This window comes from Homo sapiens, chromosome 1 (assembly GCF_000001405.40).
Source record: "Homo sapiens chromosome 1, GRCh38.p14 Primary Assembly".
NCBI classification, from domain to species: domain Eukaryota; kingdom Metazoa; phylum Chordata; class Mammalia; order Primates; family Hominidae; genus Homo; species Homo sapiens.
This window is the reverse complement of record NC_000001.11, coordinates 34,055,833-34,083,720: the sequence shown is the minus strand read 5'-3', so window position 1 is coordinate 34,083,720 and position 27,888 is coordinate 34,055,833. Positions and strand designations below refer to the sequence as shown.

Genomic DNA, 27,888 nt, shown 5'->3' with positions numbered 1-27,888 from the left:
GGTCTCAAACTCCTGAGCTTAAGTGATCCACTTTGCCTCCATCTCCCAAAGTGCTAGGATTACAGATATGAGCCTCCATGCCCGGTCTACTAGTGTGTCATTTAAGTCTTAAAACAGTTTATGGTTAAGTGTTACTATTAAGCCTATTTTAATGAAACTGTAGCAAACTTAGTTATGTCACTTGCCCAAGCTCAGATCATTTTTAAGTAGGGCCAGAACTTTATCCCAGGGATAAATAATATTTCAGTGGACTGAGAAGTTGAATTAGGAAAAATGAACCTAATTTTGATTTTGAGAAATCTATTGAATGTTCCACTCATAATTAATTTACAACAATGAACAAAATAAGGGAAAAAATCATCACTTAAAACACAGATATATAGGGTTGAACAGAGAGTGACAAAGAGCGAGAGCTAGAAGATTCTTTGGGGGCCCCTCTTTCCTACATCTCAGCCTCTCTGGTTCTATCAGATGAGTCCTAGCAGCATTTTCCATGCTGCACTTTTTTGTGTGTGTGATCTAACCACACATTCTTCATCAAATACCACCTCACTTCTCTGCTCCCTTTGCCAGACAATTCTCCAAAGAGCTGCCTATGTTTTCTATCTCTGCTTCCTTGATTTCTTTTTTTTTTTTTTTAATTTTTTTAGTATTTATTGATCATTCTTGGGTGTTTCTCGGAGAGGGGGATTTGGCAGGGTCATAGGACAATAGTGGAGAGAAGGTCAGCAGATAAACATGTGAACAAAGGTCTCTGGTTTTCCTAGGCAGAGGACCCTGCGGCCTTCCGCAGTGTTTGTGTCCCTGGGTACTTGAGATTAGGGAGTGGTGGTGACTCTTAACGAGCATGCTGCCTTCAAGCATCTGTTTAACAAAGCACATCTTGCACCGCCCTTAATCCATTTAACCCTGAGTGGACACAGCACATGTTTCAGAGAGCACGGGGTTGGGGGTAAGGTTATAGATTAACAGCATCCCAAGGCAGAAGAATTTTTCTTAGTACAGAACAAAATGGAGTCTCCTATGTCTACTTCTTTATACACAGACACACTAACAATCTGATCTCTCTTTTCCCCACATTTCCCCCTTTTCTATTTGACAAAACCGCCATCGTCATCATGGCCCGTTCTCAATGAGCTGTTGGGTACACCTCCCAGACGGGGTGGTGGACGGGCAGAGGGGCCCCCCCACCCCCCAGACGTGGCGGCCAGGCAGAGGTGCCCCCCACCTCCCAGACAGGGTGGCTGCCGGGCGTGGGCGCCCCTCACCTCTCAGATGGGGCGGCTGCCAGGCGGGGGCGCCCCCCACCTCCCAGACGGGGCGGCTGCTGGGCGGGGTCGCCCCCCACCTCCCAGACGGGGCGGCTGCTGGGCGGAGGGGCTCCTCACTTCCCAGACGGGGCGGCCGGGCAGAGGGGCTCCTCACTTCTCAGACGGGGCAGCCGGGCAGAGGCGCTCCTCAGTTCCCAGACGGGGTCGCGGCCGGGCAGAGGCGCTCCTCACTTCCCAGACGGGGTGGCGGCCGGGTAGAGACGCTCCTCACCTCCCAGACGGGGCGGCCGGGCAGAGGTGCTCCTCACATCCCAGACGGGGCGGCCGGGCAGAGGCGCTCCCCACATCCCAGATGATGGGCGGCCAGGCAGAAACGCTCCTCACTTCCTAGACGGGATGACGGCCGGGAAGAGGCGCTCCTCACTTCCCAGACTGGGCGGCTGGGCAGAGGGGCTCCTCACATCCCAGACGATGGGCGGCCAGTTAGAGACGCTCCTCACTTCCTAGACGGGGTGGCGGCCGGGAAGAGACGCTCCTCACTTCCCAGACTGGGCGGCTGGGCAGAGGGGCTCCTCACATCCCAGACGATGGGCAGCCAGTTAGAGACGCTCCTCACTTCCTAGACGGGGTGGCGGCCATGCAGAGGCGGCAATGTCAGCACTTTGGGAGGCCAAGGCAGGCGGCTGGGAGGTGGAGGTTGTAGCGAGCTGAGATCAGGCCACTGCACTCCAGCCTGGGCAACATTGAGCACTGAGTGAGCGAGGCACCTCGGGAGGCCGAGGCGGGCAGATCACTCGAGGTCAGGAGCTGGAGACCAGCCCGGCCAACACGGCGAAACCCCGTCTCCACCAAAAAATACAAAAACCAGTCAGGCGTGGCGGCGCGCGCCTGCGATCCCAGGCACTCGGCAGGCCGAGGCAGGAGAATCAGGCAGGGAGGTTGCAGTGAGCCGAGATCACGGCAGTACAATCCAGCCTCGGCAACAGAGAGAGACCATGGAAAGCGGGAGACGAAGAAGAGGGAGCGGGAGGGGGAGGGGGAGGGGGAAGGAGAGGGACGACCACTGCCTTTTATTGACCTGGAACCAGAGGAGCTCACACCTCGGAGGATGATAGGAGGGGAAATGACCTTAGAGGACAGTCCAAGTAACATTGGAAGATGCTGTCCTTGATACTGGAATGGTGCTACTCTGGGGGTGTGGAGAGGCAGCAGCAAGCATGCTTGGTGGGGACCCTTGGGTCTTTGTGAATTTTTTTTTAATGTTCTTGCATGATTTTTAATCTACTGAGATTTCCTTCTTATTCATGAATCATTTTTGTGTGTGTGTTAGTCCAGGGAATCACCAATAAAATCACCCATTTTATTGAGAGTGTCAAGTCTATTATCCTAAGGTTGTACACTGTTTTCCCACTCAACCTTTCTTTCTCCATGGTGTCTGGGTCACATCCCTTTCTCACATCTGCTCCTGTGCATTTCTTTCTTTCTTTCTTTCTTTCTTTCTTTCTTTCTTTCTTTCTTTCTTTCTTTCCACTCAGTTAGTCTTGCCAGAAGTTTGCCTATTTTATTGGTCTTTTTAAAGTTCCAATGCTAGGGTGATCCATTTTATTCTCTTTTATCTAAATTATTGATTTCTGCTTTTATCTTTATCTATTCTTTTCTCTCACTTTCCTTAGGCTAATATTGTTCTTTTGCCAATTTTGTAAATTAAATTAGTTTTATTATTTCTTGTTTGATAATAAAAACATTAAGAGACATTTTCCCCTAAGTATAGCTTTGACCACATTCCATAAATTTTTATGGCTAGTTGTTATTTTAGAAAGAGTTTCTAATTGCAATTTTGTTCTTTCTTTGACTCTAGGGTTTTCCCCTTAAATTTTGAAGTAATATTTGTTTATACTTTAGAAATTATTATCTAGCTTTATTTCATTATGATTAGATTATGATTTCTACTTTGGAGAATTTGTTGACTTGTTTCCCTCTGTATAAGATCATTTTTTGTCAGTATTCTATGAAGAAAGATATTCTGTGTATGAAAGGTGAAAAAATTATGTTATTAATATCATTCAGTTTTTCTAATTTCATATCTATTGCCTAACTGATATTTGCGGATAGGCAATATATTGCTCTCACATTCTTACTATAGTTTATATCAGTTCCTCCTTTTATTCCTAAGTTTTTATTTTATATACTGTGATCCTATACTCTTCAGCACATTCATATTTTCAAACATTAGATCTTCAGAGTGAATTTTGTATATGTATATATATATTTCCAATATGAAAATTGTAGTTATTCCCTATTCTCTCCTTTTTTTTTTTTTTTGCTTTACATTCTACTTTGTACCAATATTACACTCTTTTTTTCTTTCAGATATGCATTGATTGGGTCCATTTTTGCCAATTTCTCTATTTTTAATATATCTATATTATTGTTTTAGGAATAGTTCTTAGCACAATATACACAGTAGTTAAATTTTTAAAAAATCCTGGCTAAGAGTCACTATCCTTTAACAGGAAAATTTAGTTCACTCATATTTTTTGGTAACAACTGATATGTTTGCTCTTCTATTATACTTAATGCTTTCTATTACTTTTAAGCGTCCTTACTGTTACTTCCTTTTATCTGTCTTCTAGTGCAAGTTGTCTTTGTTTTTTCTGTGATTTTTATTCTATTAGTGCTTAAAGTTGCTTCTTTAGAACATGTTTTAAGCTGTATTTTTCTGTCAACATCCTGCCTAGCTAGCTTTTGTCTTAGGTAGGTCTTACTGACTCTATCTTGTAGAATTTTCTTCGTGTTTGTAGCATGTAGGTATCTATCTGTATTCCTTGGTTTCCAAAGTTAATGTAGATATTCCATCTCTTTATATACTTTAGATCATTTTCATGAGAATTTAGGGGGTCAGGCAAGGCAGAGTTTAACATGTTATCGTTCCTCTTCATCTTGACATGGAAATTTTTTAAATAAAAGTTTTATTCTTTTTGATGCTATTGTGAATGGGTTTTTTAAAAAATTTGTTTTTGGACTAGCCATTGTTAGTATATAGAAATACAATTGATTTTTGTAAATTGATCTTGTATCTTGTGACCTTGCTGAATTTGTTAGTTCAGTTCGTTTATATCTGTGAATAAAAGTTTTAATTCTTCCTTTCCAATCGGGATACCCCTTATTTCTTTTTTTCCCTGATTGTGCTGTCTAGAACCTCCAGTATAATATTGAATAGAAATGGTCAGAGTGGCTAGCCTTGACTTATTCCTGATGTTAGGGGAAAAACATTTCGTCTTTTAGCATTAAGTATGATGTTATCTGTAGGTTTTTTGTGGATACCCTTCTAATAAAAATTTTTAAGCAGAGGATTTTGGCATGATTTGGTGGCAGTGTGGAAAATGCACTGGGGTGGAGGGCAGACTGGCGACCGTGGGGCAAGGAAAGAGACAGCAGTAGTCTGGACTAAAGCAATGAAGGGTAAAGATGGCATGGATGTGTATGATGCTATGGGAAAGAGTTATCCCCAGAGTTAGTAGTGGATGTATAGGGACAGTGGACTGGGAGTAAGAAAAAGAAAGGAATGGAGGATGACTCCGCAGTGTCTGCCTTGGAAACAGAAAACAAACCAAATCAGTCTGCAGTGAATTTCAGTCTCCAGTGAAATGTGTTCTTGGGGCCTACCAGGATATTTGCTGCACTGACATTTTTCTTCACTTGTCTGGTAGATAGAGCAGGTAGGTCACCTCCTGTCTCAGTGTTTTCCTGTGAGACAGAAGGGTGCAGTGGGGACAGACCTAGATTTATACCTAGCTAGGCTCTACATTTATTAATGCTATGACCTCATACAAGGTTTGGTTTCTCTGAGCCTCATCTATAAAATGGAGGTGACATTTACCCGCCTTACAGGGTTGTTGTATGTGAGCCACCAGCTATAGATGCTTACGTGGTCCGGAAACATTGTTTACGTCCTTTCCTGCCCTTCTGTTCTTAGGACTCAGTAACTCAGACCTTTCCAGAGAGTTCTAGTGCCTGTGATGACACTTCATCTGTGGCCAACTCATCAGACATTTTAGACTGGGAATTTCAGGTGTGGTAGAAAGACACTGAAGGAGTCACTGAGCTCAGGAACAGTCATTAATTGTGCATGTATGTATCATGTGTATGTATGTAATGTGTACGTATCATGGCATTACTGATCCCATGATAGCCTCCTCTCCTCTCCCTTCCCACACAGACAGTGGGGCCAGACCACCAAGAGGCCTGCAGCAGATTTTTCTCTGCCTGCATCACCTGGGGGATTTCCATGTTTATTGTCTAAAACTTAATGAGCTGGGCACAGTGGCATCCACCTGTAGTCCCAGCTACTACTCGGGAGGCTGAGGCAAGAGGATTGTTTGAACCTGGGAATTCAAGACTAGCACGGGCAACACAGTAAAACCTAGTCTCTGAAAAATAAAAATAAAAAAAAATTTCATGAGTACAAGTTTTGCAATTACTGCTTTCACTACATTTTAAAAAATTATTTTATTTTAGATTCGGAGGTTACATGTGCTGGTTCTTTACATGGATACATTGCACAATGGAGGGGTTTGGGCTTCTAGTTGTATCCATCACCCAAATAGTGAGCACTGTACACAATAGGCAGTTTTTCAACCCTCACTGCCTCCCAAACTCCTCCCTTTTGGAGTCTCCTCACAGCATTTTTTTTTTTTTTTTTTTTTTTTTTTTGAGATGGAGTCTTGCTGTGTGGCCCAGGCTGGAGTGCAGTGGCACAATCTCAGCTCACTGCAAGCTCCGCCTCCCGGGTTCACACCATTCTCTTGCCTCAGCCTCCCGAGTAGCTGGGACTACAGGCGCCCGCCACCACGCCCAACTAATTTTTTGTATTTTTTAATAGAGACGGGGTTTCACTGTGTTAGCCAGGATGGTCTCGATCTCTTGACCTCATGATTCGCCCGCCTCGGCCTCCCAAAGTGTCCTCACTGCTTTTTTTTTTTTTTTTTTTTTTGAGACGGAGTTCCGCTCTTTAGCCCAGGCCGGATTGCAGTGGCACAATCTTGGCTCAGTGCAAGCTCCGCCTCCCAGGTTCACGCCATTCTCCTGCCTCAGCCTCCCGAGTAGCTGGGACTACAGGCGCCCGCCACCGCGCCCGGCTAATTTTTTGTATTTTTAGTAGAGACGGGGATTCACCGTGTTAGCCAAGATGGTCTCGATCTCCTGACCTTGTGATCCACCCTCCTCGGCCTCCCAAAGTGCTGGGATTACAGGCGTGACCTCACTGCATTTTTAAGGCATCTCTCTTCTCTTCTCTCCAACACTCTGGTCTTCTTTCTTTATGGATGCGTTCCAACAAAAGGCTGAAACGTTACCTCCCTACCCCAATCCTAGCCCCCTTTAACCTCACCTTTCTCCAGCTGCTTGCTCCTGGATTGTGTTGTGAGAAATGAACTTTCCTCCTATTAGATTCTAAGCTCCTTAAGGCTGGGAGTCATGGGAGTCAAGCCTTCTATATATATATATATATATATATATATATTTTTTTTTTTTTTTTTTTTGCTTTGCTGTAACAGAGCCATACAGTGGAATATACACCAGTCTTGCCAGTAGATGACATGAGTTTGCTCTCCAGCTCCTCCCTAGCTGCATAGCATTGGCAAGTCACTTTCACTGATATCCACAGTATGCTAATTGATAAACGGGGTGTATCAAGATCTACCTTATAGGTTAGTTGATCAAGATTAAATTAAAACAGTATGTAAACTGCTTTAATTATGATGAGATAGAAACAAAAGGAATACTCCTACATTTATAGGAAAAATTAGAAAGCACTATTTAGCAAAAAGACAAAATAATTTGTGAATCATGAGGTAGAGCAGTGGTTCTCAACTGAAGGCAGTTTTGTCCCCCAGGGGACATTTGGCCACATCTGGAGAAATTTGTGGTTGTCCCAACTGCAAGTGGAGAGGTGCTGATGACATCTACTAGGTTGAGGCCAGGGATTCTGCTAAACATCATCCCACAATGCACAGCACAGCTGTCTACAGTAAATAATTATCTGTCCCCAAATGCCAGTAAAGCTGAGGTTGAAAAACCGTGAGGTGGATTGATTTGAGAGGTTCATACCTTTAGCATAAGACATACCTGGGTTTTACTCCTCTTTCTATGTCTGTGAACTTGGGCAAGTGAGTCAACCCATTCAAGCCTCAGTTTCCTTCTCAGCAAAATGGGAACTTCTCACTGATGCTATGTACTGGCAGCTTCACCTGGCATCATTGATGAGAAGGTGCCAATAGACACACTGCGCACAGCTTGTTCTATATGCAGATGCTATTCATCTCCCAATGACTCCCTTTCTCTACCAGGAGTTCATAGCCATCTCCTTGAAAGCATCTCACATTTCATCTGGAGCTATTCACAAGCAACCACATCCCAGGGTGCCAGAAGGCAGCGTCTGGCTGCTTCAAATTAAATTTACAATAGAAGCTGATCAGATTCTTCTCATAATGGATCAGGGTGGGGAACGGGAGTAGGAGCTGGTCCTGAAGGCCGGGAGCCTGTAGGAGTTTGGAAATTAGCAAGAAAAGAACAAAGAGCCTTCCAGATAATGCAGTGTCAGCCCTGCCTGGATGAATTACTGAAACAATCCCCACGTCTCTGCTTTTGCACAATTAGATGGCCTCTCCGTGCTGGCAGACATCCTATTGCATTGCAGTTTAATGTGGAATGAAGTTTTCTAATGGGACACGAGCAAACATAATCTATGAAGACGCTGCTAATAAACTGCATCCCGTATATTGGAGGGTTTATAGGGTGCTGGTGATGACTGCACCAGTTAAGCACAGCTAAGCATCTCTTAATTTAGACATTTGGGCTCAAGTTATGGGAAACACTACAACTCGTTCCCTCAATTATTGGAAATACACATTCTGTCATCAGCCTAAGGTGCAATGTAGTTTTAGTCATTTGGAGCTAGTTGCAGATTTCACTCAACTGGCGTCAGACACCTGTTTTGGAAGTTGTAAAAATCCACAAATTTGCCAGATTTACTGTCTTCTTATGAATATGTATCACAGCAGAGGCCCCCAAAGGACCTGTTTTTTGGATTCCTTAAAAGGTGTGCCTTGCACATCAATAGGGACGTCCTTGAAGGGTCTGCTCTCCAGAATGCCTCTGGGAATGTGCTCTTGTGGGCAGAAGGAGGCTGGGAGGACCCATGGGGATGAGGGAAAAGTCTTTGTTCAGGATTGAAACAGAGAGGGGACACTGGAAAGGAGAACAAAGGAATGAGGACACTGAACGGCTATTATGTTCCAGCCACCATGCTGGACACTTGTGTTCATGCTCTCATGGTAATTTATTCTACATTTATTGAATGCCTAACAGGAATGCCAGGTATCAGAGACACAACAGTTAACAAGACAGCTTCTGCCTTCAAGGAACTTAACGATATCTTTAGGGAGACAGTTAAATAATCAGGGTATAAGTGCTATGACTGGGGAACCTGACCTCGCCTTGGGGGAGATCTTTGTGGATGCTCATCTGGAGGCTTGGGATGAACCCCCTCCATCTGCCCCTTGCTTAGTTGTCCCTTACTCATTCCTCAAGTAACTCAGTTGTCCCTTCCTTGCCCAGGACACCCTTTCCTCACAACCTGGTCAAACCCTCCTGTGATACCTGCTCAGATTACCATGCATTCACCCTTTGTGGTTTTACACACGCGTGTGTGTGTGTGTGTGTGTCTTCTTCATTTATGCCCATCTACCCCACAAGGCTGTAAACTCCTTGATGACAAGAACTCTTTCTCTTTTACTTTTCATTGTAGCTCTCCAGGGCCTAACAGAGAGTCTGGCTTATAGCAGATGCTAAACAAATACTTATGGAGTGAATGAATCAATGCTCTCTGGAGGAAGAGATCCCTAATAGAGTGTGGAAGGAGGGATGAGAGTGTTTCGAGCCAAGAAATAGTATGTGCATAGGTCTAGGCAAAAGTGAGAGAAAGGTGAGGTGCAGAATGACAATGGGTAGGTTCATTTTGGCTGGTGTATAGTGGGAAGGTGGAGCAGTGGCCCGGGCCAGCTCCACCAGGGACCCTGTATGCCCTGCTGAGGAGCTCGATACATTTCTAAGAAAGATGGTTCACAATGAAAGGTTTTAAATAGACATTGTTCACATTATCTAATAATTCAACAACACCTTTAGGAGGTGGGTAGTATTAATTCTCTTTGCAGAAGTTAAGCAAGCATGTAAGGCCCCTAAGCTGCCAAATAGCTGATATAGTTTGGCTCTGTATCCCTGCCCAAATCTCGTGTTGGATTGTAATCTCCAATGTGGGAGGTGGGGCCTGGTGGGTAGTAATTGGATCATAGGGCGGATTTCTCATGAATGGTTATCACCATCCTCTTGGTGCTGTCCTGACGTTAGTGAGTGAGTTCTCATGAGATCTGGTTATTTAAGTGTGGGGCACCTGCCCCATCTCTGTTGCTCCTGCTTTTGCCATGTGATGTGCTTATTCCCCCTTTGCCTTATGCCGTGATTGTAAGTTTCCTGAGGCCTCCCCAGGAGCCAGGCAAATGCCAGCATCATGCTTCCTGTGCAGCCAGTGGGACTGTGAGCCAATTAAACCTCTTTCCTTTATAAATTGTCCCATCTCAGGTATTTCTTTACAGCAATGCAAGAATGGACTAACATAGTGGCTAAAGAGGGGTGGGCCAGGGGTCTCCTAGAGCCAGAAACAAGGCTTTCCCCCACTATACCAAAATGCCTTTTCATTGCTTTGGATTTATTTGCATTCATTCATTCAATTTCCTTTTAAAAATCCATTCCTTTTTCCTTTTTAAGCAGTTTCTCTAAAATAGTAAATGTAATAGGTATTTTCTGCTTTAAGAAGGTCAGCAGTGTATAGAGTGAGAAAAATGCAGCTGCCTCCTTTCCCAGGCCCTTGTCCCAGCCTCACTCCCTAGAGGTAACCGCTGTTAACAGTTTGGTGTGTGTCCAATTTCTTTTTAAATAAGGATTCATTAAACTGCCCATGAGGCTTATTGGGACATCCATCAGACCTTTAAAAATTGTTCTGATGAATTAAGTGTAAACTAATTAGAAACATGGATTCAATTACCCTTGAAACACACAAGGGTTTAATAATTAATAGGAAGTGGGTTTGAGGCCAAAGGCATTATGGATTTTATCAAACCCCTAACATCAGAAAAGTAAATATGTTTGATTCACCCTAAATGCTGGCAAATTTGCCATCCGGAGGCAAACCTGTTGGTAGGAGCTGTGTAGTTAATCAGGAAAGTTAGCTGTGGTTAATAAGGAGGCAGAGGAAGAGGGGTGCAGAAGACAAAACCCGCTGATCATTGCTGGGCAGGGCTTCTTGGGACAGGGAAGTGGCCTGTTTTGTGGGGTTACTGCAGTCTGCTTCCTTCACAATCCAAAGCAGGCTTTGGAGTGGGAGGCTGGATACCTGGGACCCTGGTATCTGCTTGATATCCAAGTTCACACAGGTCAGCACCACCTGACCAGCACCGAAGGGGGTTATGGAAGGGGAGGAGTGGGGTCTGCCAGGGATGAGGCTCTGGAAACCAACTGCAGTGACCCCATGGGGCAGCCATGTGCTCCATCCCTAATGCCAAAGGGAGGGTCTGGGCAGACGTGGTGGGGGAGGGGTTGGCAGCAGGTGATACACAAAGCCAGGTGGGCAGCAGTGTCGGGGTCCTGAGCAATCTCTCCACTCACAGTAGGACCCTGTGGTTCAAGGTCAAAATCAATATTTGTGGCAAAGCCTCACCTTGCTCATTCACCAAGTCTGCTGTTTAATAGCAGCCAAAATTTAACACCCCCTGGAGCCAGAGTCTCAGTCCAAAAGGCTGTGCTGCCTGCATCACTTCTCACAATTGGTCCTGCCTGCAGTATCATGAGATATTGGTCAAAGACGCAACATTCCCCTAGAGCAGACTTGGCCACCTCTAGATCCTCATCGGCCCCTCTCTTCCAAGTGGCTGCTGACAGCACTGTTGCTGAGATAGGAAGTTTCCCCCTTCTATATCCTCAGCTCTTACTCCCTGAACTTCTGGGGCCACAGAATTTGCTCTTCAAGGGACCCTGGTGTCTGCAGGGTGGAGGCAGGTTTGGACTTGTCATTCTAGTCTTCCCTCTGTTTCTTTTTCAGCAGACACGGTACCCAAATAAACACTTCCCAAGTATTGAGTCCCTCATTCTCTTGGAATTAAAGTAAATCTAAAACTAAATCAATTCTCGACTTTTAAGTGACAAAAGAGCCAAATTATTGTACCCTTAAGTGGGTCTACTGCCACAACTACCCATAAACAGTGAGGCCAGCCTTTTGCTACTGCATCAATTTCTACTCTGTCACAAGATGTGGTGCCAAGAGCCAGACCAGGGGCATGGAGAGCTGGGTTCTGTCCCAGCTTGGCCACTGGTTTGCTTGTGATCTTCACTAAGTCCTATTCCTTCTCAGGGCCATCTGCGTTTTCCTGACTTACAATATGAGGATTTAAATCTAGAGGAACTCCAAAGCTTCTTCCAGCTCTGAAATTGTGTGATTGAATGATGCTGGAGATGCATATAGAAGGACTATAAAATATCCCTGAGCTTCTGGGATTCTTTCTACTCTACGTAGGTACTGCTCTTGGCTGTTTCAGCAATTCCAGCAGTTGTCTTTGGCGAACAGTTTATTTTCCAATGGCACGTTAAGCAGTGTGGCAGAGAAGGCTAATTGCCCACCATCAATCTTGCTCCTTTTCCACAGTGTAGGTGTTAGTGGGAAGCAGCTGCCTAGCTAGGGACAATATTTTCCTAGGCCCCCTTGCATCTAGATGGAGCCATATGACTTAGTGGAAGGTAGATGGAAATGATGTGTGCCTCTTCCAGGTCTGGGCAGAAAGCCTCCTCTGCAATCCTCTCTTTCTATCTTTCCCTGGGACAGGAGATGAGAGAAGCCTAGATGCCTGGATGACTGCATGGAGCAGAACCCACCTCCTCCCCTATCTGCTGCTGATTGATTGAATTTTACATAAGTGAGAAATAAACTTTTATGTAAACTTAGACCTCACGTATTACTGCACCAGTTGCCCCAGGAGCTGCAGCTGACTGGGTTTGCCTAGATGACATGGTAAAGACACTGTAGACAGTATAGACTACTAGCCTGGCTGTTGAATTCATGGAAGCAGTTTCTGACCACGTGATGCCCCTAGCATCTTGCAGACTGGCAATGCAGCATCTTCAATCCTGCCTGGAGGAGCAGATGTTTTCACGAAGTTTATAGTGGCTAGCTCCTCTGCACCTGGCAGTCTTTCACTGTGCCAGTTCAGTCTCTCGCATCATCACTGCCACCTTTGTCCTTCCATAAGCAATGGCTGCCTTATTAAGTCTCATAAGGAAGGAAGCGTGAACAATTGACTCCACCTTCCAATTTGATTATTTTAACCCAAAGGGCTCTTAACTAGGGATCTAGGGGCTTTTGTGATGCCCTGGCAAGCTGGTAGAGCTGCATACAACTTCTCCCTCCTCCAAAGTTCCACAGCTACATATCAAAGACAAGGCAAATCTTAAACTTACGTAAACCCTACAAAGTAAAGAGGAACGGGGACGCATCTTGGCTCTGATAGTTTAGCTGGATTTCAGTTATAAGAGGAATTCCTCACCATCCAGAGATAAAGAAATCTGGACAATAAAGAAGCTTTCTAGTTCTGCAAGAAGCCTTGCAGTAGTGGATATTTTCAAACCTGCCTTGGTCTGCAAGGGTGGGGGTGGGGGAATGCAGACACAAAGAGTTCTTGCAGACAGAGGCAGATTTGTATCCACTACCGCAAAGCTCCACCCATGTAAGTGCCCAGTGTTACTCCTCTCAATTCCGTTTGATTGTTGTGGCTTCTCAGGCGCATTATGTTATTGACTTCTCCCAACAATCCAATTGAAGTGTCATATTCATCCCATTTTGCAGAGGAGAAAGCTGAGCTTCAGAATGGCTCATAAGCCCTATGCTAAGAAGGTGTGGCTGAGTTCTTAGCATTTTCTCCCTGCTCTGAGCCAGTGCCCTCCAGCCACAGGAGCCTGTGGAGGGCGGGAGAAAGGCCTTGGGCAACAGTCAGCCAGAAAAAGGACCCATCTACCCTAAAGGACAGAGATAGATGAGAGGAAACCTACCAGAGACGGGATTCTACAGTCCTGTCTCCTTCCATGTTTGGAATTTGCCTGCACTTAGGCAAGAAGTAAAGGAAGAGGGAATGGCTGTCTTTTCTCCACTGCACTCTTCCTCCAGTGTAAGTTAGGTGAAGGCCTCAAAGTGGCAAATTATTTGTAGAACCCCAAAGGAGTGGGCTTCTTCTATTTTGGAGTATGTAGAAGAGTAAAGATTTTCTTTAATTAGATAGTGCCGGATAGATTTAATTAAAGCTTCAAACCTGCAATTTTCTTTGTTTGATTGATCAGTTGGTGCTGATTGCCTGGAGTAATTATGAAGGGGGAGGTGGAGTTTTCAAAGTCTGATGGTGATAAGAAGCAGACTGAGTCAACCCGTGGATACTTGGTTGTCAGAGTCATTCTGAAAAGATTTAAATTGCACAAATGTTTGTTGGCTGGTCAAATGAAAAATAAGGTATCTAAATCACACTTTTGTCTAAATCATGCTCCTGGTGGATGTGCTTCTGCAGAAAAGGTCCCCTTTCCCCTCCTTTCTCCAAATCTAATCACACCTCTGAGACCAGGCAGTATTCTGTTATTTTTGTCTTTCTTTTATGAAATAATTGAAGCACATTGTTGGGAGTGTCTCATAATGGCCTTCTAAAATTTCTAGAGCTTACTGGAGGGTCAGGAGAGAAAGAGCATCTTATAGTCTCCATGTGAATTTAGGGAATTCAGAAAGAGCTTTAAAGTCAGGCACTCCTGGGGTTGAATCCTGCCTTTACCATTTACTACCTCTTTGACTTTGGACAAGTACCCTTGAACTGCTTTTTCCTCATCAGCAATGCAAAAGAGTTGTGAAGATTCTTTGAGCTGATGTATGCAAGCCAAGCACCCACGGTTAGCCTGTGATGGGTTCTTACTGGATTTCTGTCTCTTTCCCTTCCTGTGCTCTGTTGCTTTGCTGAGGTCACCACCATAAAAGTTCCATGAACTCACGGGACCAGAGCTGTCTTGTTCACCACTGCAGACAGAGACCTCAGCACACTGCTTTGTACATGGGGGGTCTCAGCAAATTCTTGCCCAATGAATGAATAAATAGTTGAATACCCTGTATATTTAGGCCTCCCTAAAAGTAGATGACACCAGTACAGAGTAAAAGAAGGGGTTCCAAAGAGTTGCCACATTTATGAGGCCCTGGGGGGTGCAAGATGAACAATGTCATGCAGGCTGCCATGTGAAAGCATTGGTGGAGAAACTGTTCTCTTTTTCCTCTGAACTGGTCAAACCATCTTTATTAGTCCATTTTTCATGCTGCTGATAAAGACATACCTAAGACTGGGCAATTTACAAAAGAAAGAGGTTTAATGGACTTACAGTTCCACATGGCTGAGGAGGCCTCACAATAATGGCAGACGGCAAGGAGGAGCAAGTCACATCTTACATGGATGGCAGCAGGCAAAGAGCAAGCTTGTGCAAGGGAACTCCCCTTTTAACTATCAGATCTCACAAGACTCATTCACTATTATGAGAACAGCAGGGGAAAGACCTGCCCCCATGATTCAATTACCTCCCACTGGGTTCCTACCCCAACACGTGGGAATTCAAGATGAGATTTTGGTGGGGACACAGCCAAACCATTACCAACATCTTGGGGAACTGAGTTCAGTTCTCAGTTACACACTGGAATGGGAAGCTAATGATTGTCAAGACTGCTGCAGCATAAAAAATGTTTAAGTTAAAAAATAACAAAACAGGCTACAGAATTATCTGTTTATTATGTACATTACCATGTAAGCATGTATACACAGGTGAATAAGACTAGAAGGAAATATAGCAACATGCTAATAATAACATGGGTATGAGGATGGCTTGATTATGAATAATTTTTTAATCTTTTGTATTGAAAAGTTTTTTGCAACATAGTTACATTGTTTTTATAATAAGAATGCATGTTTTGATTAATGTAAGATTAAATGTAAAAGAAAAGAGAAAAGTTTAAGTATATCCCTTGCTACCCATACCCAAAGAGGGACATTGACAAACTCAAGTGGGACCACGGGAGAATGACCAGGATGAGGAAGGACTTTATGTTGCAAGATGGATCTTGAGGACTTCAGGCTGTTCACTTGAAGGAAGGAGACTCTTAGGGGAAATGACGACTGTTGTCAAAAGCTGACATAAGATGGTGGCACTCAGGCTGTGAAATGTACATTCCAGGGAAACAAACTTCAAGTCATTTCTAACACTTGTGTCTGTCTAGAACTGAGGGTCCCTGTCTCAGGAAGCACCAGTGCAGAAGTTGGGGCTTCTAGGGAAGCACCTCTCTGGGCTACAGACATGCCATCTGCACAGTGGGGCTGTAGCTCTCTGTCAGTCATTCTTTACCTGGGGATGTGCCTCCCCAATCCTGACTTCCTGGAGTCATGGAGAGTGGTTCTTGCATCACATATTGTAAGTGGGAGCCAGAAGGGAGGTACGTGTGCAGTTTGAAAAAGCATCTTCAGAGTGACCTTTACTTTGACTTGTTTTTATTCATTTTATTTTGAATTTTAAACCACATTGAAGAAGGAGGCAGTCATTTTATGTGAATCTTCATAGGGGGTCCCTGATTTTAAAAGGTTGACAAACTGCTCTGGAAAGGGGCTTCTCAAACTTTCACACACATGCAAATCAGCTGGGAATTTGTGAATGTGCACAATCAGATTCAGTCTGAGATGCATTTCCAAGGAGCTCACAGGTGATGCTGGTGCTACTGGCTCATGGACTAGTCAGGATAATCCCTGAGGCTCTTCCTGGCAGCCCCTGGGGCTCCTGGCTCCCTAGAATGGCAGAATATTGGTTTCTTATGTACAAGCCGTTGGCCCATCCTTTGTAGAGTTTGTTGAATGGAGAGTAACCATGTAAGAATGCACCCCCCACCTAATCCAGGCAGCACATAAGAACTGCCTTCAGTAGCAATAGAACTAAGCATTCCTTGCTCAGATTTACATCTTTTGTACATGTTTAAATCTGTGCCCATGTCTGTTTATCATTTGCAAATAATGCTCTGTTGTCTTAATCCTACTTTTATGGCTAATGATGTGTGTTTCATTCTCAAGTGTAGAACTGGAGTAAATATATATTTCTCAATAGTTTTCCCTCTAATCACTACCCAGAGCTGTGAGTCATTGGGATAACTCATGTATGAGGGAGCTTGTATCTGGAGTCCATCCCTCAATGCGAGCCTTCTCTGGCTGCCTGTTACAGCCCTGGTGCGGGCATTCATCCTCGCCTGTGCCTTCCCTGCAGGCTGAGGGAGGCACCACAACTTTCTCCATGAATCTGCGAGGGCATGACAGGCTTGCCAATACCATCGATCCTGTCCCCTTCCAAGCAGAATTGCTTCACTATCATTTCCAGGAATTTGTGATGTTTCTAATTTGATGATTGAGTGTCGCTCTCCACCATTCCTGCTCAGCTGCAGATAGTGCTGTCTGTCCTGCAGACCCCAAGCCCATCCTGACTGTGGAGAAGCCCCATCTTTCCCAGAGAGCGGCACAGGACTGAGCATTCTAGGACCAGGACACTCAGATGCCTACTGTGCTGCAGTGTACCCAACCCCCTGGCTGGTCCACATCCTGCTGCGTCCAAGCCCGCCAGACCCCTGCCTCCCTAGGCTAGGGCAAGACTCCACCTGCCTCTCTTGAGCCCACTTGTCTCTGCAGCTGGACTCAGACCCTGACTTCTAACTCCACGTCAGAGCCAGCCCCCAGGGCCTTAGCAGCTCCCAAGACTTGCAGCTCGAGCTTCATGGCATCCCCCCTCTACTAGGCTGGTTTCTGAGCCCCAAACTTTGATTATTTCCCCTCTTCCTTTCTCTGCCCATTATTTCTGCTGACTTTGTTGGTGTTTCAAGATGCAAAGGATCAGGGAACGCTGAGGGAGAGGAAATTCCGAGGGAAAGGAAATTCCAAGGCAGAGAGGGGGATGCAGGAGGGAATGAGCAACGAGTAGGGTGGGATGAATCAACTGCAGGCTTTGGAACAGCGCTTCCTGATCATAAAAATTAGCACTTATACAGTATTTGTATATGCAGTGTATATATTAGTATGTGTGCTGTGTGTATGTGTCTGCATAAAAAACACTCGTACATATAACACATCCTTGCACCCAGCACTCTTCTCAGCTTGAAATGCTACATCTCACTGAGTGTTCTCAGCAGCCCTATGGGGAATGTATTATCATTAGCCCCATATTACAAATAGCAACTGAACTGAAGGAAGGGAGGGAGGAAGTGTCTTCCTACGGTCACACAGCTGGCTGATCCAGGTGGTCAGACTTCAGAGTTGACCATTATGTCTTGACCATTCTGTAATACTGTCTCAAGTTCCTAATTGGGCAGGGTGGAGATATGGATCCCTCTGAACTTCTGATGACAGCCAGGGACTCTCTCCCATAATATACACACATTGAACTAAAATTTTGCATTTAATTTCTATGGGTGGACTCACAAACTACTTGAAACTCATCTTTGAGCCCCAGGGTAACAACTCATGATTTAGAGGTTGTGCATATAGATGGCAATAATGATAATAGGAATTTAAACTATTTTTGAGCATTTACTGTGTCCTGGGTACAGTGCTAAAGGCTTTCCATGAATTACCTTGCTTACAACATTTCCATAACATTTCCATTCACCCGCATTGCACAGATAAGAAAATTGAGGTTTATAGAGGTCAAGTCATTGTCTCAAGCTCAAGCAGCTAGTAAGCACCAGAGATGAACTAAAACCCAGCTCTGCTGGTTCCAAAGTCAGTGCTCTGTGCACTGTGCAGCCGGCCCTGCTTAGGGCTGGTGGTACCCTTGTAGACATAGGCCTGAGGGAGAGAAGGGGCAGTTTTGGGGATGGTTTAGAATGTGTGCTTCTGGACTGTTTTACTGCCTGAACCTTTGGAGATTTGGACCCCAGCCCATGCCTGATGGAGTCTGCAGTTTGGCATAATGAATTCTGTGCATACCCAACAATTCGGCCCTATCTTTGAGAGCAAAAAGGCAGAGTGGGGCGAAGAAGGAAAGTGTTGGTGCACCCAAAGGCAGAGCTGGACATGGGAGAGAAGAAGAAGTCTGTTTCAAGCTGTCTGTAAGACACTCTCAGAGTTAAGAGACCATCATGAGGTGGGGTTGGGGGAGGGGAGCAAAGGAAGGCCTAGGGGAAAGAAGAGCTTTCAGGAAGCCTCCTTGATATGGTTTGGCTCTGTGTCTCCACCCAAATTTCATCTTGAATTATACTCCCATAATTCCCACATATTGTGGGAGAAACCTGGTGGGAGGTAATTTGAATCATAGGGGTGGTTTCCCTTATATCATTCTTGTTGTAGTGAATAAGTCTCACGAGATCTGATGGTTTTATCCGAGTTTTCCGCTTTTGCATCTTCCTCATTTTTCTCTTGTTGCCACCATGTAAGAAGTGCCTTTCGCCTCCTGCCATGACTCTGAGGCCTCCCCCGCCATGTGGAACTGTAAGTCCAATTAAACCTCTTTTTCTTCCCAGTCTCGGGTATGTCTTTATCAGCAGCATGAAAATGGACTAATACAGTAAACTGGTACCAGTAGAGTGAAGTGTTGCTGAAAAGATACCCGAAAATGTGGAAGCAACTTTGGAACAGTAAGAGGTTGAAATAATTTGGAGGGCTCAGAAGAAGACAAGAAAATCTGTGAAAGTTTGAAACTTTGGAACCTCCTAGAGGTTTGTTGAACGGCTTTGAAATGCTGACAGTGATATGAACAGTAGGGTCCAGACTGAGATGGTCTCGGATGGAGAGGAGGAACTTGTTGGAAACTGGAGCAGAGGTGACTCTTGTTATGTTTTAGTAAAGAGACTGGTGACATTTTGCCCCCGCCCTAGAGACTTGTGGAACTTTGAACTTGAGAGAGATGATTTAGGGTATCTGGCAGAAGAAATTTCCAAGCAGCAAAGCATTCAAGAGGTGACTTGAGTGCTGTTAAAAACATTCCATTTCAAAAGGGAAACAGAGTATAAAAGTTCAGAAAATTTGCAGCCTGATGATGCAGTAGAAAAGAAAAACCCATTTTTTGAGGAGAAATTCAAACTGGCTGCAAAAATTTGCATAAGTAACAAGGAACCAAATGTTAATCCCAAAGACAATGGAAAAATGTCTCTAGGCCATGTCAGAGACCTTCACAGCGGCACCTCCCATTACAGCCCCAGAGGCCCGGGAGGAATACGTGGTTTTGTGGGCTGGGCCCAGGATCCCCATGCTGTGTGCAGCCTAGGGACTTGGTGCCCTGTGTCCCAGCCACTCCAGCCATGGCTGAAAGGGGCCAACATAGGGCTCATGCTGTGGCTTCAGAGGGTGGAAGCCCCAAGCCTTGGCAGCTTCCATGTGGTGTTGAGTCTGCTGGTGTGCAGAAGTCAAGAATTGAGGTTTGGTAACCTCATTTCAGATGTATCCAAATGCCTGGATGCCCAGGCAAAAGTTTGCTGTACGGGCGGGGCCCTCATGGAGAACCTCTGCTAGGGCAGTGCAGAAGGGAAATGTGGGATCGGAGCACCCATCGGAGCTCCATCTAGTGGAGCTGTGAGAAGAGGGCCACCATCTTCCAGACCCCAGAATGGTAGATCCACCAACAGCTTGCAGTGTGTGCCTGGAAAAGCAGCACTCAATGCCAGCCCATGAAAGCAGCCCAGAGTGGGGCTATACCCTGCAAAGCCACAGGCCGGAGCTGCCCAAGACTATGGGAATCTACCTCTTGCATCAGCATGACCTGGATGTGAGACATGGAGTCAAAGGAGATGATTTTGGAGCTTTAAAATTTGACTGCCCCATCTGGATTTCGGACTTGCATGGGCCCTGTAACCCTTTTGTTTTGGCCAATTTCTCCCATTTGGAATGGCTGTATTTACCCAATACCTGTACCGCCATGTAGCTAGGAAATAACTAGCTTGCTTTTTGATTTTACAGGCTCATAGGCAGAAAGGACTTGCCTTGTCTCAGATGAGACTTTGGACTGTGGACTTTCGTGTTAATGCTGAACTGAGTTAAGACTTTGGGGGACTGTTGGGAAGGCATGATTGGTTTTGAAATACGAGGACATGAGATTTGGAGGGGCCAGGGTTGGAATGATATGGTTTGGCTGTGTCCCCACCCCAATCTCAACTTGAATTGTACTCCCATAATTCCTACATGCTGTGGGAAGGATCAGGTGGGAGGTAATTTGAATCACGGGGGCGGTTTCCCCCATACTGTTCTTGTGGTAGTGAATAAGTCTCATGAGATCTGATGGTTTTATCGGGGTTTCCGCTTTTGCATCTTCCTCACTTTTATCTTGTTGCCGCCATGTAAGAAGTGCCTTTCACCTCCCACCATGATTCTGAGGCCTCCCTAGACATGTGGAACTGTAAGTCCAATTAAACCTCTTTTTCTTCCCAGTCTCGGGTATGTCTTTATCAGCAGTGTGAAAACGGACTAATACACTCCTCTTGCCCATAAGGGTTTGGCCATAGGTTTCTATAGCCAGTTCTGTTGCTTTGCTTCTCCAGGGACTGTCAGTTGTGGCATCAGAGAGCAGAGTCTCAAACACCAGCAGAAGCAAGGGTGTGGCTGGAGGCCTTTCAGCAGAACAGGCCAAAGAAGAGCCAGGTTCAGCCACAGATGTTGGAGGCTCCCCCTGGCCATCCTGTCCTCCCTTGCCTGGCTGTCCCACCCTCGGGATGGACCCTCACCTTGGGATCTCTTGCTCATGGTCTTGCCCCCGGAGCCCCTCCCTCTGCCCTCTTCACCACCTTCCCTGTCCTCCATGTCCTTCCTGTACCCCCTGTCTTCACTGCCAGCTCGAATGCATGTCCTGAAACATGGCCACAGCGGGACTTCCTGGCTTGTCTGTTTTAAGGCATCCACATTAAAGTGACTGTCAGAAGGTATAAGCTACTCTTTTGCTACCAGTCGTGTGTACCATGGACACCCCTGATGGATGTCAATGACATGTGTTACTTGGTAATAAAAATAGTTGAAGGCTTAAGGGTTTATTTTTAGGCTGGGTCCAAATGCTACCTCAGAATGCCTCTGCAGAGTCTCAGAGGGCCTGGTGGGTGCTTGTCTGGTTTTGCTTTGAGCTATTGCCAGCACCTGGGTCCCAGCAAGGTCAAGGGCTGTGGTAAAATGTGCTCTTGCTGATTTTATATTCACCAAGTTCATAAAGAACTTAAGAGTCCAAAGAGCCACATGTATCCTGCTGGACTCCCCATCAGAGGGGAAGCCAGCACACTCATGACATTGGGGTCTTAGCCCATCCTGATGACCTGATCTGGGGATCCCATACACAGATCCCATACACAGATATGGAGAGGCTTGAAGCAATTACCCTAGCTGAGCTGACCCAACCATTGCCTCATTTGGAAAAGGAAGATAATGCTTTCAACCTCTAGGGCCATGTGCATAGACGGCAATAATGGTGTCAGGTTATAAGGCCTCCAGGAGGTTTTGTAGGATCCAGCACGGAAGCCTGTGCCTTTGTGTGTGATGATGGGGATGCATTGCAGTCACGATGAGCTATGGTGCCCAGCAATCTCTTTCACTCATCTGAGTAATAATATTGATAATATTAATGGCTACTATTATTGAGCACTTACTATGTACCAGGCACTGCTCTAAGCACTTTGCATATATTAACCCTTTTAAGTCTTACAAGAACTCTGTGAAATAGGTGTTGCCATTCTGCAGATGAGGAGCTGAGGCTCAGGGAGATTGAGTAACTCATAAGTGGTGGTGCTGGGATTTGAGCCCATGAGTCAGGTAGTTGAGCCCCTGAGCCCCACTCAGAACACAGATAGCAGAGAAGCAGTGAGTGGTGGCCCTGGGTGCTAGAGAGGAGCCAGGGGCATGGTCTTCCATGGTGAGGCAGCCTTGGTGCCCTGTGTCCCAGCCGCTCCAGCCGTTGCGAAACGGGGCCAATCCAAAGTCTGGATCAGCCAAGGATGGACAGCCATCAGAGCACAGTCTGCCTTGTGGTCAGAGTGAGATGTGGCACACAAGGGCCTGGCACAGAGCCTGGCACACTGTCCAGCCTGCTTCTCACCATGGCACCCTCGATATTCAGGACTATGGAGTTTCTTTGTTGTAAGGAGAGGTCCTCCACCTTGTAGGATATTTAGCAGCAACCGTGGCCTGCCAGTAGCCCCCCTCTCCCCATTGCAGAGAAGAAAAATGTTCTCAGACATTGGCCAATGTCCCAGGCAGGGTTGGGGTGGAGCAAGCTTGCTGCAGGGGTTGGGAAGTGCGAGCTTCCCTTTGTGCCAAAGACTCTTCCACGGCTACGGATTATGGTCTCTTATGCAATAGCTGTCTCCAGTCGTGACAGAAAGCCAACTTTTCTGACCCAGGGGATACAGGTGGGTGGGGCCTTTGTGCATCTCAACCACCAGGCAGAAGCATGGCTAGGGGAGGAACAGGGACCACGAAGATGAGGCCTGGCTGAGAGGGGACTGGACAGTGACTGCTTTCCAAGCCTTCACAGCCTTTTTATCCTTTTCCATTAAAGGGATTCATGACATTTTGGTTACTCCATTTCTGCAAAGAATCAATTGAAAAGATCAAAAATATGGCATCTGGAGAATTTAAAATTAGATTCTTACAAAATACAAAGTAGAAGAGAGAAGAAAAAAAAAAAAAAGGAAACAGGGAACCCCATGACTTGCACAAATCCTGCATTTGTTGCCTGGGAGCTGAGCAATCCTGGCTCTAGATGAGAAGGAATTCCAGGATGCCTGGGGGCGAGGTACGCTGGGGAGGGCAAGGCAGCCTCAGAGCTCCCCCCAGGCTGCCGCAGTTGCCTGTCCTCCCCCAGGGGCCCTGCATCCTCCGCCTCCCGGTCTTTCTCCTTCCCATCCTTTGATATATATGTTTTCAGTATATAAATACATTCTAATTATAGAAAACTTGGAAAATGAAGACTGTCATAAAGAAGAATTTTTAAAAGTCAGCTGTCATGTTGGCACCCAGAAAGAACCACTGATAACACACCCTCACACACTTATGCATTGATTTTACCCAAACTGAATCCTACTGTCTGTTCCTTAGCTGCCTGCAGTCATGTTTCAGAGCCTCCTTTGCCTGCAGATCCTCTTCTTAGGATGTTCATTCCCCTGACCCAGGGGACTGTTCTTGGCTGGTCCTCCTTTTCCTCTGTGGCATCCACTCCTGTTGACCTTTCCCATTCCTGGCCCTCATCCTCAGCTCCTGGCACCCTGTGCCTTCCTGGCATTCTTCTTTCCCTCTCTTCTAGAGGTCACAAATGTGATGAAATCCAAGGAGCCAATCGCAGCCATGGCTGTGGCTTCTGTCAGGCCAGAGGTGACCCTATGATGACCTGATGGTCCAGCAGGGTGGGGGTGAAAGGGACATTTGAATGAACACAGATGAGATGGGACCAGCCAGGCAAGAGTCCAAGGGAGTGGTGGTTGACAGGGATTCAGCCCAGAGGGATCTGGGCAGGGGAATTAGGAAAGCAAGAGTTACCCACCAGGATCCAGGGTGTGCTACAGTACTGACAATGTCGACTTTTACTGCTTGTGTTCATTCGTTCATTCATTCATTCATTCATTCACGTATTCATTCCCCACATAGTTACTGAGCACCTGTTAGGGGCCAGCCACTGAGGGAGACCATATAATATGTTAATTATACTGGGCCATGTGGTCACTCTGCAGGGTTGAACAGGCATCGCAAAAACAGTGGGGGAACAAAATACACAGATTCCCATCTCTCCCAAACTTAGCCTCTAGTAAGGGAGATTAGTAAATAAACTAGGAAACAGACAGAATGATTACAGATTTGATAAGCTTCTGAAGGAAAGAAATAGGGTGCTAGAATTGACATGGCCTGGGGAACCTACTTGGGTGGCTTGAGTATTCAGGAAGGACCCAGTTAGAATGAGGGGGCTGAGGGAAGAGGGTGTCAGATGGAGGCACATCTAGCAAAAAGCTGTGAGCCAGGAAGGTGGTGGCCTTTTGAGGCACAGAAGAAGGGCCCATGGGTCTCGCTCCACCCCTCTCAGCCCTTGGGGTGTAGCTTTTGCTGGTCACTGGAAGCACCTTGACTTCTGATGATACTGATAGCTCCATCCTTTTGCATGTGTAGCAGTGACCTTAGGGTCATAATGTCACCAAATACTTGAGCTGTGACTTGGGGAACCCTTGAGCCTAGCAGGACCTTGGGGATATTATTGTCATTGCTCACTTACTTGTGTCCTGCCATGACCCCTCATGCTTCTGTCCTATGAGACATAGCAAGTGGCCCAGTCTCTAGATTTGCAAATGGGGACCAGGGCTGGGTTTCTTTGCCTAGGACATTCACTGACCGCCACCTAAGAAGCAGCAGGTCCTAAAGTTTGGTTTAGACAAGGGCCCCACCCAAGGTTCAAGGCTAGTTGAGATCTAAAAATATAGCATCCATGGCTTCCAGCTTGTAAAACGGCTTCATGTCTGGCAGGTGGTAGAGCAATCATGTAATTCAGGGCTGGGGTGTGGGGAGCAGGGTCCAGGCTTCTGGGGACCAGGGCTGACCAGCCCTAATAAAGTAGGGCGAACAGTGCTGAAGGCCAGGTGTGCGGTTTCAACCAGGGTGGGCAGCCCAGTGGGCACTCAGACCCTCAGAGCTGACACTCACTCCAAACCCAGATCCCCAGACAACAGGCATAGGTGGTGATTCCAGCTCTAAACCCTGCCTTCTCCCTGTCTCGTCTGCCTTGGTAGATATAGACTTCCTCTGCTACTGTGGGCCCTTCACATATTCCATTCTGATGCCACAGCCTTGCACGCTGTAGCTCAACAACTTCCCTCTCCTTGGGGTAGGTCTTGGTTTATTTATCTTCATAAATTTTGTTTGATAGCTATAGGAATGTAGAGGATTTGTTTTTATATCATCATCATCATCATCATCATTTCAAGCCCTTGCTCTAGGTCAGGCATCATGCTAAGTGCCTTCCCTATAGCACCCCATTGAATCATCACAAAGATCATCTGGGGTAGGTACTGTCATCTCCATTTTGCAGGTGTGGAAACAAGGATGAGAGAGGGGAAGTGACCTGCCCGGGGTGACACAGCAAGTAAATGGCAGAGCTGGAGTCTGAAGTGCACCCGTGCTCTACCCAGCTCCTATGTGATGCAGGAGCCTGGGACCCTGTTTCTCCCAGCTCACAAGCCATCCTTGGCAAATGGAGTTGTCACTCCCACTACAGCTGTGCTCATCCTGTCCCAACTAGGTGACTATGACTGGCTTTCCCTCGTCCCACGCCCCTACTCCCAGGCTAGTTCTCTCTGCTTTCAGGCCAGGAGAAGCCAAGCCTGCCAGAAACAGCTCTGGCCAGTGTCACTGCCAGCCCAGAGCGTGCCTCACCTCCTCACCCCAACCCCCAGCTTGCCTGCCAGTGCTCAGATGTGTGGTGCTATAAAAAGCCAAGTAGTAATATGCAAATTGCCCTGATTATTTATGGCCAAGTTAGTAAATAAGCCAGAGAGACAAGGTGGGTAGTTGTTTTTATGATCTCTGCAGTCCTTGCAGGAAAATCTACAGTAGGCAGAGTCTGGGTGGGCAGAGCTGGAGCCCATGGTTTAACAAACACAGCCTAATTATCAGGCACTGGGGACAAACAAGCGAGGGGGCTTGTGGAAGGGAGTAACGGGAAGCGGTGGCCAAGAGGCGGAGGCAAGGGGCTGGAGGACTGAGTCTGGCAGCTGGACCCTCTCTGCCCACCTCTCTCTGGCTCAGCCTTTGAGCTGCCTGCCGGGAGGGGGCGGGGACTGAGACACCAATCAGTGTAAGGTGCTGTAGTGTTGCTAGGAGGGGAGGGGTCCTGACAGTTTGCCAGGGCATCGCCTCCACCAGGAGCCTCCCACTCTAAAGCTGCAGGAAACAGCATAGAAACAGCGAGAGGCTCAGGGCTTAGGGGTCTAGGAGAAGGGAAAAGGGAAGCTTCCTGCCAGCCATCAGCCTATGCTGAGGTTGGCGTGGCATCCTGGGTGGGCACCTGAATTAGTTTTCAGCGCTGTTGCATATCTGTGATTCCAGCCCTTGGAAGGTTGTGGTCAGGATGGAATCAAGCAGAGAGACCAGGGCAGAGGCTGTGGTGCTCAAGGGACTTGAGGAGATCAAGACTCCAAGCAGCCACAGGGCACAGTCAGCAGTGCTGCTAGGCTTTCGCTCCCACTCTCTGCTCAGGTGTCACTGGGAGTGGAGGGGAGACGCAGCAGATCCAGTAGATGCCACATCCATAGTTCATTGGTTGGAGCTAATGACCCCAGGAGCAACCAGCAACCCAAAAGGAGGGAGTTAGTGTATTGATACCCCAGCCTCTTCTTCCTGTAATAGGATGACTCTGAGTTGCGTATTCTATGCTCACTCCCAGTGTTCCCCAATGGGATTTAGCTCAATTGACTCCCAGTGGCACCTTATATGACCAGGTCCCCTTTCTCAGCTGCCTTCTCTTTTCTGTTTCATATCCCCTCCCCTCACTGTGCTCTTAGGGTCAACTCCCAAATAAGCTCACTTGTAGCCAAATCCTTAACACAGGTCTTGTTTTAGTGGAAATCCAACCCAGGTGATATAGCTAAACAGGTGCTGAACATTTTGATAGAAATAATTGTAATAGCTATGAGCACTTATTCTGTGCTAAGTACCATTCAAAACATTTTGCCTGTATTAAGTTATTGAAACCTCTCAACACTCTGTAAGGTAGATACCATTGTTAACCGTACATTTGATGAAGGGGAAAATGGAGCACAGACATGTTAAAGAACTTACCCAAGGTCACACAGCTGAGCCAGGATGCAAAACAAAGCACTACTAGCTTTAGAGACTATTTTCCTAATTATTATACTAAATTGCAGGCCTTTCAGATATTCCCCAAAGACCTCTTCATTCCAGGCCTTATGCTTAGCATTGGGATCCAGAGATGAAGCAGACATAGGCCCTGACCTTGGAGAACTCAGTCTTGAGGCAGAAACATGAAGGAAATAGACAAGCCAGTGCAGCATAGAGGGATGTGTCCAGAGCTGGGAGAGATTAGAGGCAGAGCACCAGGAATCAGGGAAGGTGTTCCTGAGGAGATATCACTTGAACACAAGTCTTAAAGAAGAAATGGGAGTTGGGAGATAGCAGGGGATAAATGGAGTAGGAAGAATAGTCCAGGCAGGGGAACAGTGGTGTAAAGGAGCTGAAGCGAGTGTACCACGGTGATATTCAGGGAATTGCATGCCATTCTATATGGCTGGTGTGGTATTGTGAAATATACATTTGGTCTTTGTCTCTTGTCCTGACATACGGCTGCTGAAATCCTTGGAATCTCCAAAGTGATACACATCTTATGAATGCTAATGGGTTGACTGTTGGCTTGCCATCCCTAAATATCTTCAAGACCGGGGTTGGTTACTGGGAAGACCAAGCCATGATTAAAGAGTTGGGATTTTCAGTGTCAACCCGCAAACTCTGGAGGA

General features: G+C 46.3%; 1 protein-coding gene across 12 annotated transcripts in view, besides 2 other annotated features; it reads left to right on the top strand.

Annotated features, from left to right (window-relative positions):
* The window catches only part of CSMD2 (CUB and Sushi multiple domains 2), a 651,845-nt gene that overhangs the window by 82,122 nt on the left and 541,835 nt on the right, over nt 1–27,888 (top strand). The window lies entirely within an intron of this gene.
* Nucleotides 21,950–22,449: an enhancer, noted in NCBI's record as "H3K4me1 hESC enhancer chr1:34526873-34527372 (GRCh37/hg19 assembly coordinates)". NCBI's record gives its function as "activates a minimal SCP1, AML or CMV promoter by ChIP-STARR-seq in naive H9 embryonic stem cells {active_cell/tissue: H9 hESC(naive)}" and the evidence as "EXISTENCE:reporter gene assay evidence [ECO:0000049][PMID:30033119]".
* Nucleotides 22,450–22,951: an enhancer, noted in NCBI's record as "H3K4me1 hESC enhancer chr1:34526371-34526872 (GRCh37/hg19 assembly coordinates)". NCBI's record gives its function as "activates a minimal SCP1, AML or CMV promoter by ChIP-STARR-seq in naive and primed H9 embryonic stem cells {active_cell/tissue: H9 hESC(naive and primed)}" and the evidence as "EXISTENCE:reporter gene assay evidence [ECO:0000049][PMID:30033119]".